This window comes from Homo sapiens, chromosome 16 (assembly GCF_000001405.40).
Source record: "Homo sapiens chromosome 16, GRCh38.p14 Primary Assembly".
Taxonomy (NCBI): Eukaryota; Metazoa; Chordata; class Mammalia; order Primates; family Hominidae; genus Homo; species Homo sapiens.
The window spans coordinates 19840558-19855256 of NC_000016.10; the positions used below are offsets into that span (position 1 = coordinate 19840558).

Here is a 14699-nt window from a genome sequence, read left to right on the forward strand (position 1 = left end):
TTGTTTACATTCATTGTGCACTTACTATGAGGCAAGCATTTTCCCAAGCACTTTACTAGTAGCAACTCAATTATTCTTTACACCTTTGAAGTAGTTACTGCTATGGTCTCCATTTTATAGATGAAGAAACTGAGGCAGAGAGAGGTCAAACAGTATATCTGGGGCCACACAGCAAAAACATAGCAGAACCAAGCAGCTTGACTCCAGAGTCCTCCCTCTCTCTCTCCTCATTAGGCTGCAATGCACAGATGTTATTTATGGAGTTCAAACACTCAAGAGAAATCTGTTGGTGTTCAGTTTCCTGCAAAGTCCATTAGGACTTCTGGTTGCATTGCCAAGGGCATGAAGCACATGCTTCTTTATGCCTGTGAGCCTGCCTTAAAGAGTAACGATCCCGCCCACCAAATTGTCCCTGCTTCTCTCTGTGAGCACCAGTCCAAGGCTGTTGACACATGGTGTTCACCCTTAGGATCTAAATTTAGGATGTGAACAGCTAAAGCGTCTTGCCAGTTTTCATATTCAACTCTCATTATCTCTTTTAAATTATCTTTTTAAAAATAATTTAAAACCTGTCCCCATATCAAAGCAATACATTCTCATTATGAAAAACACAGAATAGTAGCAAGAGATCTAAAAAAGGTACCCACCTCACTGTCACTGGTAATACTTTGGTGGCTACGAAACCTTTTCAAAAATGCCTTACTTTGCCAGATCTGAGTAGGAGGGAGATGGGGGAGACTAAGGAATCTTTTGCATGAGCCCTACTGTTGCCACGTGCATTGGAATTGCCCTCATTTTCTTCTCGTGGCATCCAGAGACTTGTCACTTAAGAGGTTTCAAAGTGACATTTGAAGCTGTTCAGGATGAGCAGCTAATAATAGTAGAAAGAGTCCTAGGCTTAGAGTCCCAAGACCTGCATTGGAACCCTGGCTGGCAACTTCCTAGCTGTGTGTCCTTGAGCAAGGCACTTAACCTTCCTGATCACTCATCTTTTAGATGCAGAATGAAATTAACACTCTCCCTGAAAACCCAACTGAGAGACAAGTTTATTTGTGTTAAAACAACAACAACTTGAGCTAATTTCACCTACAAATTCTTACTGGCTATGTGACCTTGAACAAGTTACTTAACTCTTCTAGCTTTCGGTTTTTTCACCTGTACAATGGAAATAAAAGCATCCCTCTCGCTGGATTCCAAAATGAGATAATGCTTGTAATGAATATGCTTAGTCCAATGCCTCATAAACATTAGGTGATCAATAATGATCAGTGTCTACCATTGTAAGCCATCTTTTTTTTTTTTTTTGAGACGCAGTTTTGTTCTTGTCACCCAAGCTGGAGTTCAGTGGTGCGATCTCAGCTCACTGCAACCTCCACCTCCTGGGTTCAGGCAATTCTCCTGCCTCAGCCTCCTGAGTAGCTGGGATTACAGGTGCCCACCACCACGCCTAGCACATTTTTGTATTTTTAGTAGAGACAGGGTTTCACCATGTTGGCCAGGCTGGTCTCGAACTCCTGACCTCAGGTGATCTGCCCACCTCAGTATCCCAAAATGCTGGGATTACAGGTGTGAACCACCACACCCGGCCCCATATCATTTTTGAATCATTTTAGAGCAGTGTCTTTTCCCACTGAGTGGTGAAATCAATTAATGGGTTGCCAAAAACATTTTGAAAAATGAAGTACAATATAGAGAACATATCAACATGCTTTGCTTATTGTAAGGGAAATACTTTTTGGAGAAATATTTGTTTGAGATGTGTTTGTGCATTGTAAAAGCAATGTAAAACATATTTTTTAAGTTGAAGGTGGCAGTTTAAATATATGAAAACCACTAAGTTAGATTATAAATTTGGTTCCCATGGTTTTAGATTTTCCCTGAATTTGCCAAGGTGGTGTGTCTTTGGCTTACAAACCAAGGTACCTTGGGAAATAACCATATTAATGTACTTTAACATCTTCTGTAAAATTTTTTCTTTGGGTCAAAATCCATTAAATCCTTTTCAAAAATAAATCCGTATGTGAAATGTCATCCAGCAAATGGTGCCAGGAAAAATGTTGCTTCCCTTGAAAATGGTTTGCTTCTTCCCTGACTTTCCCTTTGTGCCTTGTTGGCCAGGATGCTCAGAGTTCAATGTGAAACTCATTTATAGCAACGTCTTAAACGCTATAGTTAGCATATCTAAATTCTCCATTTCTCTTCACGCTTGGTTTTCTTTTTCTGTTTTGATTTACCATCTTTTATTATAAATTATCTCAAATCTTTTAAGGAAGGAAGCAGGATGTAAATACATTCAGGAGGAAAACAGTTGTTTTCCTTGCTTATAACACAGACAGCTTGTGAATCTCAGATGAGATAATGTATGGGGAAGAACATTAAACACTGGGAAGCCTGGCCCGGGGGAGTTGTCATTAGAGCATATCTGACTCTTGCAAAGGTGTAAGTTTTATCAGCTTTGTTGACAAGGAGAATAGGGCTGGCATTTGTTTTAACAGAATTGTTAAAAATAACTTTCTTCTTAACTGATTGTAGAAGTAATACTTGCTCTTTGTAGAAAACTAAACAAAAAAGTGGGTGATTCTGTCTCACCGCCTAGAGATGACCATTATTGAAATGTCATCTTTCTTTTTTTAAAAGTTTTATTGAGATATAATTCATATATCATGCAATTCAAAGTGTACAACTCAATGGCTTTTAGTATATCACAGATACTACAGATGTCACAGAATTTGCAACCATCACTAAATGAATTTTAGCACATTTTCATCACCCCCAGAAGAAACCCTACACCCTTTAGCCATTATCTCCCAAGACTTCCAATCCTCCCAGCCCCAGACAACCACTAATCTACTCTGTCTCTTTATGGATTTGCCTGGTCTGGACAGTTCATATAAATGGAATCATTCAATATGTAATCCTTTGTGACTGACTTCTTTCACTCAGCACAATGTTTGCAAAGTTTATCCATGCTGTAGCATGTGTCAGTACTTTACTCCTTTTTACAGCTTGTATTAGTCAGCTCAGGCTGCCATAATAAAATACCACAGACTTGACAGTTTAAACAACAGACATTTCTTCTCTCATAGTTCTGGAGACTGTAAGTCTGAGATCAAGGAACCAGCATGGTCAGGTTCTAGTGAGGGCTCTCTTCCCGGCTTGCAGACAGCCACCTTCTTGCTGGGTCATCACATGGGAGAGGGAGCTCTCTGGTGTCTCTACTTCTTCTTCTTGTAAGGGTACCAGTTCTACCAGATCAGGTATATACCCTTAACCTTAATCACCTCCTTAAAGGTCCTATCTCCAATACAGTTAGATGGTGGGAGTTAAGGCTTCATCATATGAATTCTGAGGGACATAACTCAGTCTGTAGCATGGCTGAGTAATATTCCATTGTATGAAGGTATCACATCTCACTTATCCATTAATCAATTGATGGGCATTTGAATTGTTTCCACTTTTTGGCTATTATGAATAATGCTGCTATGAATATTCATGTACAAGGTTTTGTGTACTCATATGCTTGCTTTTTTTTTTTTTTTTGAGACAGGGTCTGGCTCTGTCACCCAGGCTGGAGTGCAGTGGCACGACCTCGGCTCACTGCAAGCTCCACCTCCCAGGCTCAAGGGATTCTCCCACTTCAGCCTCCCAAGTAGCTAGGATTACAGGCACCTGCCACCACGCCCGGCTAATTTTTGTATTTTTAGTAGTGACAGGGTTTCACTATGTTGGCCCGGCGGTGTTGAACTCCTGACCTCAGGTGATCCGCCCGCCTTGGCCTCCCAAAGTGCTGGGATTACAGATGTGAGCCACTGTGTCTGGCCGGCCTTGTTGAAGACTTCAGAGTTGAACCCAATTTCAGCTGGGCCACACAGCATCAGGAGGGCTTTATAGGAAAGAAGAGTATGGGGCACATTGGAGATGGGTCGGATGACCCGGTGGCAGTAAGAACAGACAAAAGTGGACAGATTTAGGAGACATTTAAGGGGCAAAAATGACATAGATGAGATCAGTGATCTTTTCTAAAAATGTAGCTTTGTTTGTAGATAAATGTATTTCTCATCGTAGTAAGTGGTTGAAAACGTTCGTGTTTTCTTTTCAGTGGACCGGGGGCTTCCTGTTAGAAAGAACGCCGGTTGAAACTCAAAGGATGTTAATTCCCATCCTCTTTCTTCATGTTTGGTAAAAACAATAACAACAACAACAACAAACACCTTACCAAACATGAAGAAAGGGGATGGGAAGTTTTTTGTTTTGTTTTGTTTTGTTTTTGAGACAGGGTCTTGCTGTGTCCCCCAGATTGTAGCACAGTGGCACAATCTTGGCTCACTGCAACCGCTGCCTGCTGGGCTAAAGTGATCCTCCCACCTCAGCCTCCCTAGTAGCTGGGACTACAGGCACACGTCACCATGCCTGACTAATTTTTGTAGTTTTTGTAGAGGTTTCGCCACATTGCCCAGGCTGGTCTCGAACTCCTGGGCTCAAGAGATCAGCCCGCCTCGGCCTCCCAAAGTGCTGGGATTACAAGTGTGAGCCACCACGCCCTGCCAGTTTAGTTTCTTACTCCTTGGAGTTTCTTGATGTTAGCCCTATCTGCCCTGGGTTCTGAGTCAGCCATCAAGATGAGTGAATCTTGTCTCGCAATCCCTAAGTACAGATTGAAATAATTTCTCAATTGTTTATTAATTTGTTACCCTTGTAGAGGAGCTGTTTAAAAATAAACTGGAGGGTTTGTCTCTGTTGTTCTTAAAGGCAGCATATAATATACAGAGCTTCTGCCAGTCTGAACTGGCTAACAGTTTATACCCTAAACTCATTCAGAATGCCTGGGATATTTCTAAAGGTTCAGTTTGGGCAGCGGCAGCTGAGAATGCAGTGATAAATAAAAAAGTCATAAGACACGGCTGATGGGGTTTGTCTGTGTTCATTCACACCCATGACTCACTCGGCTTTTGAAGACACAGAATTTCGAAGGACAACCAGATGGTGGCTGTTTAAACTGCAGCACTAAAACTCCAATCTTAATGTATTTCAGCTAATTGCAAAATGGAGTTACCCTTGTAAATTGAGATATAGAAAGAAAATACGAATAGATCTATAAATACATATGAATAACACATAAACTAAGGCTTACTCAATGATTTAAAGAAAACCTGCTTAAATATTTGTTTTAAAATATTATATTTTCCAGTTTTTCTGCAGTAACTGCATTACTTGTGTGATAACAAATAATTTTATAGCCGGGCATGGTGGCTCATGCCTGTAATCCCAGCAGTTTGGGAGGCTGAGGCGGGCGGATCACTTGAGCTCAGGAGTTCGAGACCAGCCTAAGCAACATGGTGAAACCCCATCTCTACCAAGGACACAAAAAATTAGCCAGGCGTGGTGGTGCATACCTGTGGTCCCAGTTACTTGGGAGGCTGAGGTGGGGGGGATCACCTGAGCCCAGGAGGCAGAGGCTGCAGTGAGCTGAGATCACATCACTGCACTCCAGCCTGGGCAATAGAGCGAGACCCCATCTCAAAAAATAATAATAATTTTATTGAATATTTATTATGTGCCATACAATATGTACCATTTCGTTTCATCCTTGAATTCTACCAAAAGGAAAGTCTTCCTATCCTCCTTTTATGGATGAGAGAGCTGAGGCTTCCAAGATGTTGAGAGACTTGTTCAGGCCACCCAGTTGGTAAATGGTGGTAGGATTCAAAGCCGGAGCTGCCTTCTCCCAAGTGGTGTGCTCTAAGCAGCTAAGCTGTGCTTGGATGGCTCCATTGCTAGGTTTGATTTGGTGGCTTCCTTCCCCTGTCAATACCTCAGTTTTCACCTATTAAAAACAAGCCTTTTATTGAATCTCTCTTTTTCCAGGAATCAAGACCCTTTACGGGGTCAAACCTTGATAATCCCATGGTTCTGTCTCAATATAACCAATGTTGCCACTCCCACGCCAAATGTTTCCATTTAAAATACTGCCTTCAAGGAGACTTTGCTCTGGATTAACTTTAGTAACTGTTTGGAAGTCAACAACAGAAAGCTGCAATTACTGCTCATTCAAGGCTGTCACGTTCTCCCGGAATGCCTTGTGGCTTCCAAGTTGGCTTAATTTTCCCAAAAATAATGCAACACAGCATCTGGTACTGTCAAGAAATGGAGGTAAATTTACCAGGCTACTGACATTTACGCCCTGAATGTCAACATGTATTTCTTTGTAGAAAGGAATCTTCCACAATTTGTTCTTCTAGTTGGGGGCAGAGGGGCATAGATTTTTTTTTTCTTTTTTTCCTGTATTCTTCGAATTTTCTATAATGTATTGCTCTTCATGGAAAAATAAAATCTCGGTAATATATATAATACACTCCCCTGCCTTTCTAACTTTAGGGACCAATTCTTACTCCAAGGTGGTGTCAGATGATGGTTAAGACCATGGGTTTTGGAGTCAAAAGATACCAAGATCAGAATCTTGGTGTGGCCATTTACTTAACTCTGTGACCTTGGGCACGTTGCTTAGTATCTCTGAGCCTCAATTTCTCAGTCAGTAAAATGAAAATGAGGATAGCATCTACCTCCCAGGGTGGTTGGGAGAATTGTATGAGATAATTAAGGTAGGTAAAGCCCTGAGCCTAGTGTCCAGCATCTGGCTAGTGCAAATTTCCTGATTAATTCTATGATATTGTCCATAGGGACCCTCTTGGGTGTGTAAGACTCTTTGAGGATCTGACTAAAAAGGTGGGCACATTTTTGTGTCTGTTCTCTTCCTCCCCATTGTTCCTATTTTATTTTTTGTGATTGAGGTGGCACTCACATACAGTGGGGTACACCGGTCACAGTGCAGTGCTCCGTGAAATTCTGTGCATGAATCCAACCCAACCACCGCCTGGATCCAGATAGTGAACATGGGCGGCCCCCAGCCAGCTCCCTCATGCCCCACGCGGTGTCCCCTTCCCTTGAGGTAAACTCTGTTCTGACTCCTTTCACCATAGAGTAGTTTTGCTTCTTCTCTGCCTAACTGGAAAACACAGAATGAACTCCTTTGTGTCTGGCGTCTGTGTCTTCTGCTGAACATTATGTCTGGGAGATGCAGCTAACTTGTTGAGGGGTAGCACTCAGTTGATCTTGTATTGTCGTGTTGCTGTTGTAGCATTCCTTTGTATGATTATCGTCACAAGCTGTGAATCCAGTCACTTTTTAATGGATTATTGGGTTATATCCACCTTTGGCTATTATGAAAAATGCTGCTACTTTGTTGATTTTATTATTATTTTTAGAGATAGGGTCTCTCACTCTGTTTTCCAAGCTGGAGTGCAGTGGTGCAATCATAGCTCACTGCAGCCTTGAACTCCTGGGCTTGAGCCATCCTCCAGCCTTGGCCTCCCAAAGTGCTGGGATTATAGGCATGCGCCACCACACCTGGCCCAATGCTGCTGCTTTGAACACTCCTGGATCTGTTTTTTGACCGATGTAAATACTCACTTCAGCTGTGGATTTGGAGTTGCTGGGTTATATGTTTAATTCTAAGATATTTCCAACTCGTTTTCCAAAGTGGCTGTACCATTTTACATCCCCATCAGTGATGCACGAGCAGTCTGCATCTTTACCAACAATGAGTGTGATGAGTCTTCTTTTTCATTTTAACCATTCTGGTGGGTGTGTGGTGGCTGTCTCATCGTGGCTTTAATTTCCTTAATGACTAATGACGTTGCACACCTTTTTATGTGCTTATCAGCCATTGGGACCGTATTTCATTCCTAAATTCCTTTCTGCCATTGGGATATCTGATAGGTCAACTTGCCAGAATGATGTTTAAAGAATGAGCACCCATGCTCTGAGTTTGGGGAATACATTCCGGAACATCCACATTGGCTTCTTCTGTTTACTTTCAAGTTCTTGGCTGTGTTTGATACCTGAGTTTGCAAAGATAAGTAACGTTCAGATGAGTGACATCTTATGAATTTTAAAAGATGCTAAATGAACTACTTAGCAGCAATTCAGCTTATATTCCTGCAGTCCACCTGGGGGGAAAGGAAACCACATTTCTTGAGTACCTTCTTCATGTGCCACATACTGGTGCCACCAGTACCACTGGTACAGTGTACCAGGCACTTTGAATGGATCATCTTTAATCTTCATAAGGACTCTGTGAAGTGGAGATTATTATACCTATAGCTCAAATGAGGAAATTGAGGCTGGGGGCAGAGGTGGGGTATCATCCAGCTTTTAAGTGGCAGAGCCAGGATTTGAATACTGCGTCTGCTTGATGCCAAAGTGTACCCTTTTATTAGCAAGCACATTGAGGAGGAAACGTTATTTTCCTAGAAATTTGCTAATCAGAAACTTTTCCTAGCAAACATTTCATAATTATTTCTGTGAATGGTCACCCCTACTAAGGCCACTCCACTTGTGGGTGGATCTCTTGTCACTGTCACCCCACCCTGGATCTGATGATCGGGGAGTTTCCCCTGCAGCTTCTGATTGGCCACTTGACACCATTTCTCATCCTTCCTGCCTTTCTCCCATCTTTGGGCTCTAATTGCAGCAATACTGTTTAGGTGTTGATTACCCTGAGGGTCTTTTTCTTTTGTCTGGTATATTTTCTGGTGATTCTTTTAGAAAGTTTCCCCCAGTTGTATAGCAATACAGGTATACTGTAGAACATTCAGGAAAACAAAAATTCAGCAGTTTCCTTTCAATCATTACATCTATGTTCAGGTTTTTTTTTTTTTTATGTATTTGAGATGCTGGGTTATAACTTAGTTGAGCAATAGATGTAATTTTGGACGTAATGAATGTAATTTTCTACAGGGCAGTTACACTTAAGTGATGTATTATGAAAATCTCACCCAAGAATGAATGTGGAATAGGAGTCACTTGTTCTAAAAAAATAAAAATTTTAAAAAGTAAACTTTTTTTTTTCTTTAGAAAGGCAGGGGCTGGGTGCGGTGGCTCATACCTGTAATCTCAGCGCTTTGGGAGGCCAAGACAGTAGGATCACTTAAGCCCAGCAGTTCGAGACCAGCCTGGACAACATAGTGAGATCCCATCTCTACAAAAAGTAAAAAAAATATTCGGGCATGGTGGTGCACACCTGTAGCCCCAGCCACTTGGGAGGCTGAGGCAGGAGGATCACTTGAGCCCAGGAAGTCAAGACTGCAGTGAGCTGTGATTGCACCATGTACTTCAGCCTGGGCAACAGAATGACACCCTGTCTCTGAAAAAAAAAAAGAAAAAGAAAAGAAAAAGAAGGAATGAAAGAAAAGAAAGGAAGGCAGGGATGATTAAATGAAGGAGCCCAGTTTATATCTGTTAGGCTTCCAGCTCTAACAGACAGAAGCCTCCATGCCCTCGTGCCATCCTTGTACTCCTTGGAGACATGATTAACTTGGTATTGAACAATTTCAAATTTGCATAATGGAAATTTATAGGAAATGTGCTGCACCGTATTTTCCCACTGACATTTCTCCCTGTTTTTACACTTTGCCAAAACATCATGTTTTTATGGCTTCATTATATTACATCACATCAAGGTTATAGGTTGTCAGATACTTAATCATTCCCTGACTTTTGGGCATTTAGGTTGTTCTCAAACTGTTTATGTGGTAGAGGATGCGGAAGTGAACACCTTTGTCTGCGTAACATCATTGTTGCTTCTTTAATCACAGACATTTTTGCTGTCCTGGTGGGAGGCAGTTGTGAGATCTTGACCCTGTAGAGTTTTAAGAGCAGCAGCAGCCAGACAGCTCACAGCGTAACCTTGAGCAAGTTGCATGACCTGTCTCTGCTTCAGTCTCCCTACCTGTAAAACTGGGGAAAATAATAGCACTTAGCTCACTATGACTTCGTATGTGTCAAGGGCTTCATAAGTACCATAGAAGTGTTTGCTTTTATTATTTACCTGGAATCCTAGAAATCGGGAGCTAATTGAGTAAAAGATGAACATTTTAAGGTTTCTCATAGATATTGCTGATTTGGGAGCGTGAGCCAGTCTCCTCCTTGTAACCCCAGGCCCCAGCACGGTTGTGGTCCATAGCTGCGTGGCAGATGGTCATCTATTGAAGCAAGTTCTCCCCGCAGTATGTGAGCATCTCGTGGTTCGTACAATTTCCTGTTGATTTTTTCTGCCTCACCTTCTATACTGTGACCTCTTTGAGGGCAAAGAATATGCCCTAAGCAAAATAATAGCTGGCTGGGTGCTGTGGCTCACACCTGTGACCCTATCATCTTGGGAGGCTGAGGCAGGAGGACTGCTTGAGCCCAGGAGTTAGAGACTAGGCTGGGCAACATAGCAAGACCCTATCTCAACCCAAAATAAAAATATATTAGCCAGGCATGGTGGTGCGTGTGTGTGGTCCCAGCTATTAATACTTAGGAGGCTGAAGTGGAAGGACCATTTGAGCCCAGGAGGTTGAGACTGCAGTGAGCCCTGATTTGCACCACTGCTTTCCAGCCTGGGTAACAGAGCGAGACCTGGTCTCAATAAAAACGCGAATAATAATAGCTGATATTTATCAAGTGCCTAACTCTGGGTCAGAACCAGTGCTGAGCACTTTGCATTTTGCACAGCTTGCCTCTTTTGCTTCTCTCAGCGCCCTTAGGAGGCAGGTGCCATTCTCAACCCTGGCTCACAGTTGACTGAGGCCCTCAGGAAACAGGCACTGTTTCCCAAACTTGCCCAAATCTGCTCTCTTTCCCAAACTTGCCAGATCAAAACACCCACCCACAGCACTGAGGGGGAGGGGATACTGATTCCCAGGCCTCACTCCTGGAGATTCTGTTTCTAAAGGTCTGGGGTGGGGCCCAGGAATCTATATTTTCACCCCAGGTCATCCTTTCATGCTGAGGCCCTGTCTGGACAACATTGTATGAGTGGCCGGATGACCCTGTGGTCCCCAAATTTCCTGTCTTGAGCTTTAGGCATTTTCTTTATCTGTCCTGTGCTGCTGGCTGGGAGGTTTTTCTCTGGGCTGTGAATTGAATTCTCAGTCCTGTCACTCACAGGAACAGGAGAGGATAAGGGCGACCACGAGGAGAAGATGTACTGAGTCTTATTAGTATGCAAGGCCCTTCTTGTCACATTGCCTTTAATTGAAGCTGAAGGGCTGGCGTATCTCTCTCTGGGATTTTCCACTCTCCCAGCCCTTCCGGAACTGGCTGGGCACCAGCCTGCTGAGAGGGACAAGGACAGCATAGGGGTGCCGAGGCATCTGTCTGTTGGTGTTGGAAGCCAACCACGATGATGTCTCCGAGCTAAGGTGGAAGCTGCATTCTACAGCATCCTGGCTTACTTCTTCTCTCCTGCCTCTCACCCCTGCTTCCCTCCCCTTTTCCTCCCTCCGCTGATCAAGTACCTACCTGTGCAAGGCTGTGTTCTGCTAAGACCAGGAGGAGGAAGACCACCAAGTCGAGATTTTATCTCTTGCTTAATTTTTAGCAAAGTAGTGCATCCCCAGAGGCAATGACTTTGAACTTCAGCTGCTCCTCGGGGTGTTACTTCTGTATCTGGAACAGGTCTCTATGGTAATAAGATTTTCAATAGGATCTACTGATTTCCTGCCATGATAGGTGAGGGTTAGCTTAGATTCCATCCCTCCCCTCCTCAAAACAGCTAAATCATTCTTTTCCATGCCTTTATTGGTTGGCTTTGTAATTTCAAGCAATACACGAACATACCTATTTCTTTTTACCTTTTGGGGGGTGAAATATGCGTACAACAGTGGCTATAAAACACATATAACAATAAATAAAAACATTTGTGGAGGATCGCTTGAGCCTCCACAAGCCTCCAGAGGCTGCAGGGAGCTATGATCGCACCACTGCACTCCAGCCTGGGCAACAAAGCGAGACCTCTCTACAACATTTAACAAACAAACAAACAAACAAACAAACAGAACACTGTCAACAGTTTTAAAGCTCTTCCCCCATGAAGCCACTTCTCTGACTATCATGATAGCTGTTCTCTTGCTTTTCTTTGGAGCTCTTTTCACGTTTGTATGCATCTCTCAGCATTTAGATTTGCTATAAATAGAATCACACTATATGTATTATTCCGTGCCTCTCATCTTTCCTTCAACTTTTTTTTTTTTTTTTTTTTTGAGATGGAGTCTCGCCCTGTCGCCCAGGCTGGAGTGCAGTGACGCGATCTTGGCTTACTGCAAGCTCCGCCTCCTGGGTTCACGCCATTCTCCTGCCTCAGCCTCCCGAGTAGCTGGGACTACAGGTGCCCGCCACCATGCCCGGCTAATTTTTTGTGTTTTTAGTAGAGACGGGGTTTCACCGTGTTAGCCAGGATGGTCTTGATCTCCTGATCTCGTGATCTGCCCGCCTCAGCCTCCCAATGTGCTGGGATTACAGGCGTGAGCCACCGCACGCGGCCTCCTTCAACATTTTTGAGCTAATCCAAGTTGATGCGTGTGGCTTCGGCTCACTCATGTTCAGTGTTGTATAATCACTGGTCAAGTAGACCACAATTGGTTTATCCAGTCAACTGCTGATGGACATTTGGGTTGTGTCCAGGTTTTGCTATCACGAGCATCCTCCCAGTACACGTATGGAAGGGTTTCTGCAGTGGGATACGGGAGTGGAATCATTTGTATTCACTGTCAGACTCAGTTCCATTTGGTAACGCCAAGCAGTTTTCCAGTGTAGTTGTGCCTCCAGAGATGGTGACCTAATTGTGTAGGGTGTTCAGAAATCCCCAGGTAATTCCACTGGGAGGCTCCACGTCACACCTTGATTTCCAGCCCGTCAACTCGAGATAACACCTCTCGGTCCTCCCCCATGAACAAGGTCCCTAGCTCATTCCTTTCTGCTCTCCTCTGTCAAGATTTCTGAGTGATGATCTAAAGAGATACTAAGGGGCTTTTTCCCAAGCAAGGTCAACACGTAGGGAGTAGGCAACAAGGTTGTCAAGGTATGGACAGGAATTGGGTAAAATACCAGGACAACAGCTTGCAGGTGAATTCTTCCTTCAGGCAGTTGAAGAAAACTAAAGAAAACCCAAGGGCTGGGGAATTCTCCCAGAAGCCAGTCCTTCCCTCCAGCTATTAATTGCCTCCAGCATCTGTCTGTCTGCCAGCTATCTCTCTCTCTCTTTTTCTTTTTTTGAGACAGTCTTGCTCTGCCACCCAGGCTGGAGTGCAGTAACACGATCTTGGCTCACTGCACCCTCTGCCTCCCTTCAAGCGATTCTCCTGCCTCAGGCTCCCAAGTAGCTGGGATTAACAGGCGCCTGCCACCACGCCCAGCTAATTTTTGTAATTTTAGTAGACAGGGTTTCACCATGTTGGCCAGGCTGGTCTCGAACCCCTGACCTCAAGTGACCCACGTGCCTCGGCCTCCCAGAGTGCTGGGATTATAGGCGTGAGCCACTGTGCCCAGCCTGTCTGCCAACTCTCTCTCTAGCAGCTTAAACTGTGAGACTCACAGGCAGCCAGCATGATGTTAATAAGTTGAGGGGAATTCTAGACTCTTCAGGGTCCTACAGTCACGTTTCTTTAAAGGGATTCTAAGCCCCATCTGTGTCTCAACCCTGGCTGAACCTTAGCAACACACAGGAGCTTTACCTAGCTACTGATGCCCAGGCCCCAGGGTAGTTACATCAGAATTGCTGGAGTGAAACCCAGGCACCAATAAATTTCAGAAGCTGACCATGTGATTCTTACAAGCAGCCAGGGTAGAAAACCAGTAATCAGTGGTTCTCAAACTTTAACTAGCATCCATCAGAATCACCTGGAGGCCTTGTTAAACTGTAGATGGGTGGGCTCCACCCCCAGTGTCTGGTTCTCTCTGCCTGGAAAAGGGCCCTGAATTTGCATTTCTAACAATTTCCCCCTATTGCAAATGTCCCCAACTTGTCCCTAGAGACCCAGCCTGATCCATCAGAATCACCTGGAGGCCTTGTTAAAATGCAGATGGATGGGCTCCACCCCCAGTGTCTGGTTCTGTCTGCCTGGAAAAGGGCCCTGAATTTGCATTTCTAACAATTTCCCCCTATTGCAGATGTCCCCAATTTGTCCCTAGAGAGCCAGCCTGCAGGTCTGAAGTTATGCCTGATGCTGGCTGCACTAGTTGACCTGTGTACCTCCCTGGGGGGATCCAGGGCAGCCCCGCTCCATCTGACTGTGCGCACCTCTTCCCAACTCTGTTACGTTGTCAGGCTGCTGGCTTCCAATAGGCTATGGAAATGGCAAATGATACAACTCGGGACTCTCCCCCAATCCCTGGGGAGCTGTTAATCACAGCTAGTGGGACAGTCTTTAGGGAGGTGTGGCGCATCCTTGACTATGAAGAGTCAATGTCATCGTTAGTAGGGTCTAGAAGCACATAGGGTTTTCACTGTGGTTGCCCATAGAGCTTCCATATAAATGGAATAAAAAAGGTATATACCTTGAAAAAATGTTTTAAAATGTCCTGTGACCACAGGCTCCAAGTATTAAAAATATTTTTTTCTGATTTGTGTTGCTAATACAATGATTAGTAGTACGCAAAACCAAATAAATACATGATACAATTTGATAGTTGTCAAACATAGAAAATAAGGAGACTCTGAGGGCCCTCATTTTGAACTGCCTTCTTGTTTGGCACCTGGGGAGTCTTTACACACTGGGCCAGGAATGACAGGAGGGTGGGAAGCTGATGATCTGGAAATTGATTTCCTTTGAATGAACCATGACCAAGAACCCTTGCCCTCAGTTTGAAGACTGCAGGGC

At 43.9% G+C, this 14699-nt stretch overlaps 1 protein-coding gene across 8 annotated transcripts in view, besides 2 other annotated features; it reads left to right on the plus strand.

The window, feature by feature from the left end:
• The window catches only part of IQCK (IQ motif containing K), a 140197-nt gene that overhangs the window by 122287 nt on the left and 3211 nt on the right, over positions 1–14699 (plus strand). The gene's annotated exons all lie outside the window — the stretch shown is intronic.
• Positions 12640–13558: an enhancer, noted in NCBI's record as "NANOG-H3K27ac-H3K4me1 hESC enhancer chr16:19864519-19865437 (GRCh37/hg19 assembly coordinates)". NCBI's record gives its function as "activates a minimal SCP1, AML or CMV promoter by ChIP-STARR-seq in primed H9 embryonic stem cells {active_cell/tissue: H9 hESC(primed)}" and the evidence as "EXISTENCE:reporter gene assay evidence [ECO:0000049][PMID:30033119]".
• Positions 13559–14478: an enhancer, noted in NCBI's record as "NANOG-H3K27ac-H3K4me1 hESC enhancer chr16:19865438-19866357 (GRCh37/hg19 assembly coordinates)". NCBI's record gives its function as "activates a minimal SCP1, AML or CMV promoter by ChIP-STARR-seq in naive and primed H9 embryonic stem cells {active_cell/tissue: H9 hESC(naive and primed)}" and the evidence as "EXISTENCE:reporter gene assay evidence [ECO:0000049][PMID:30033119]".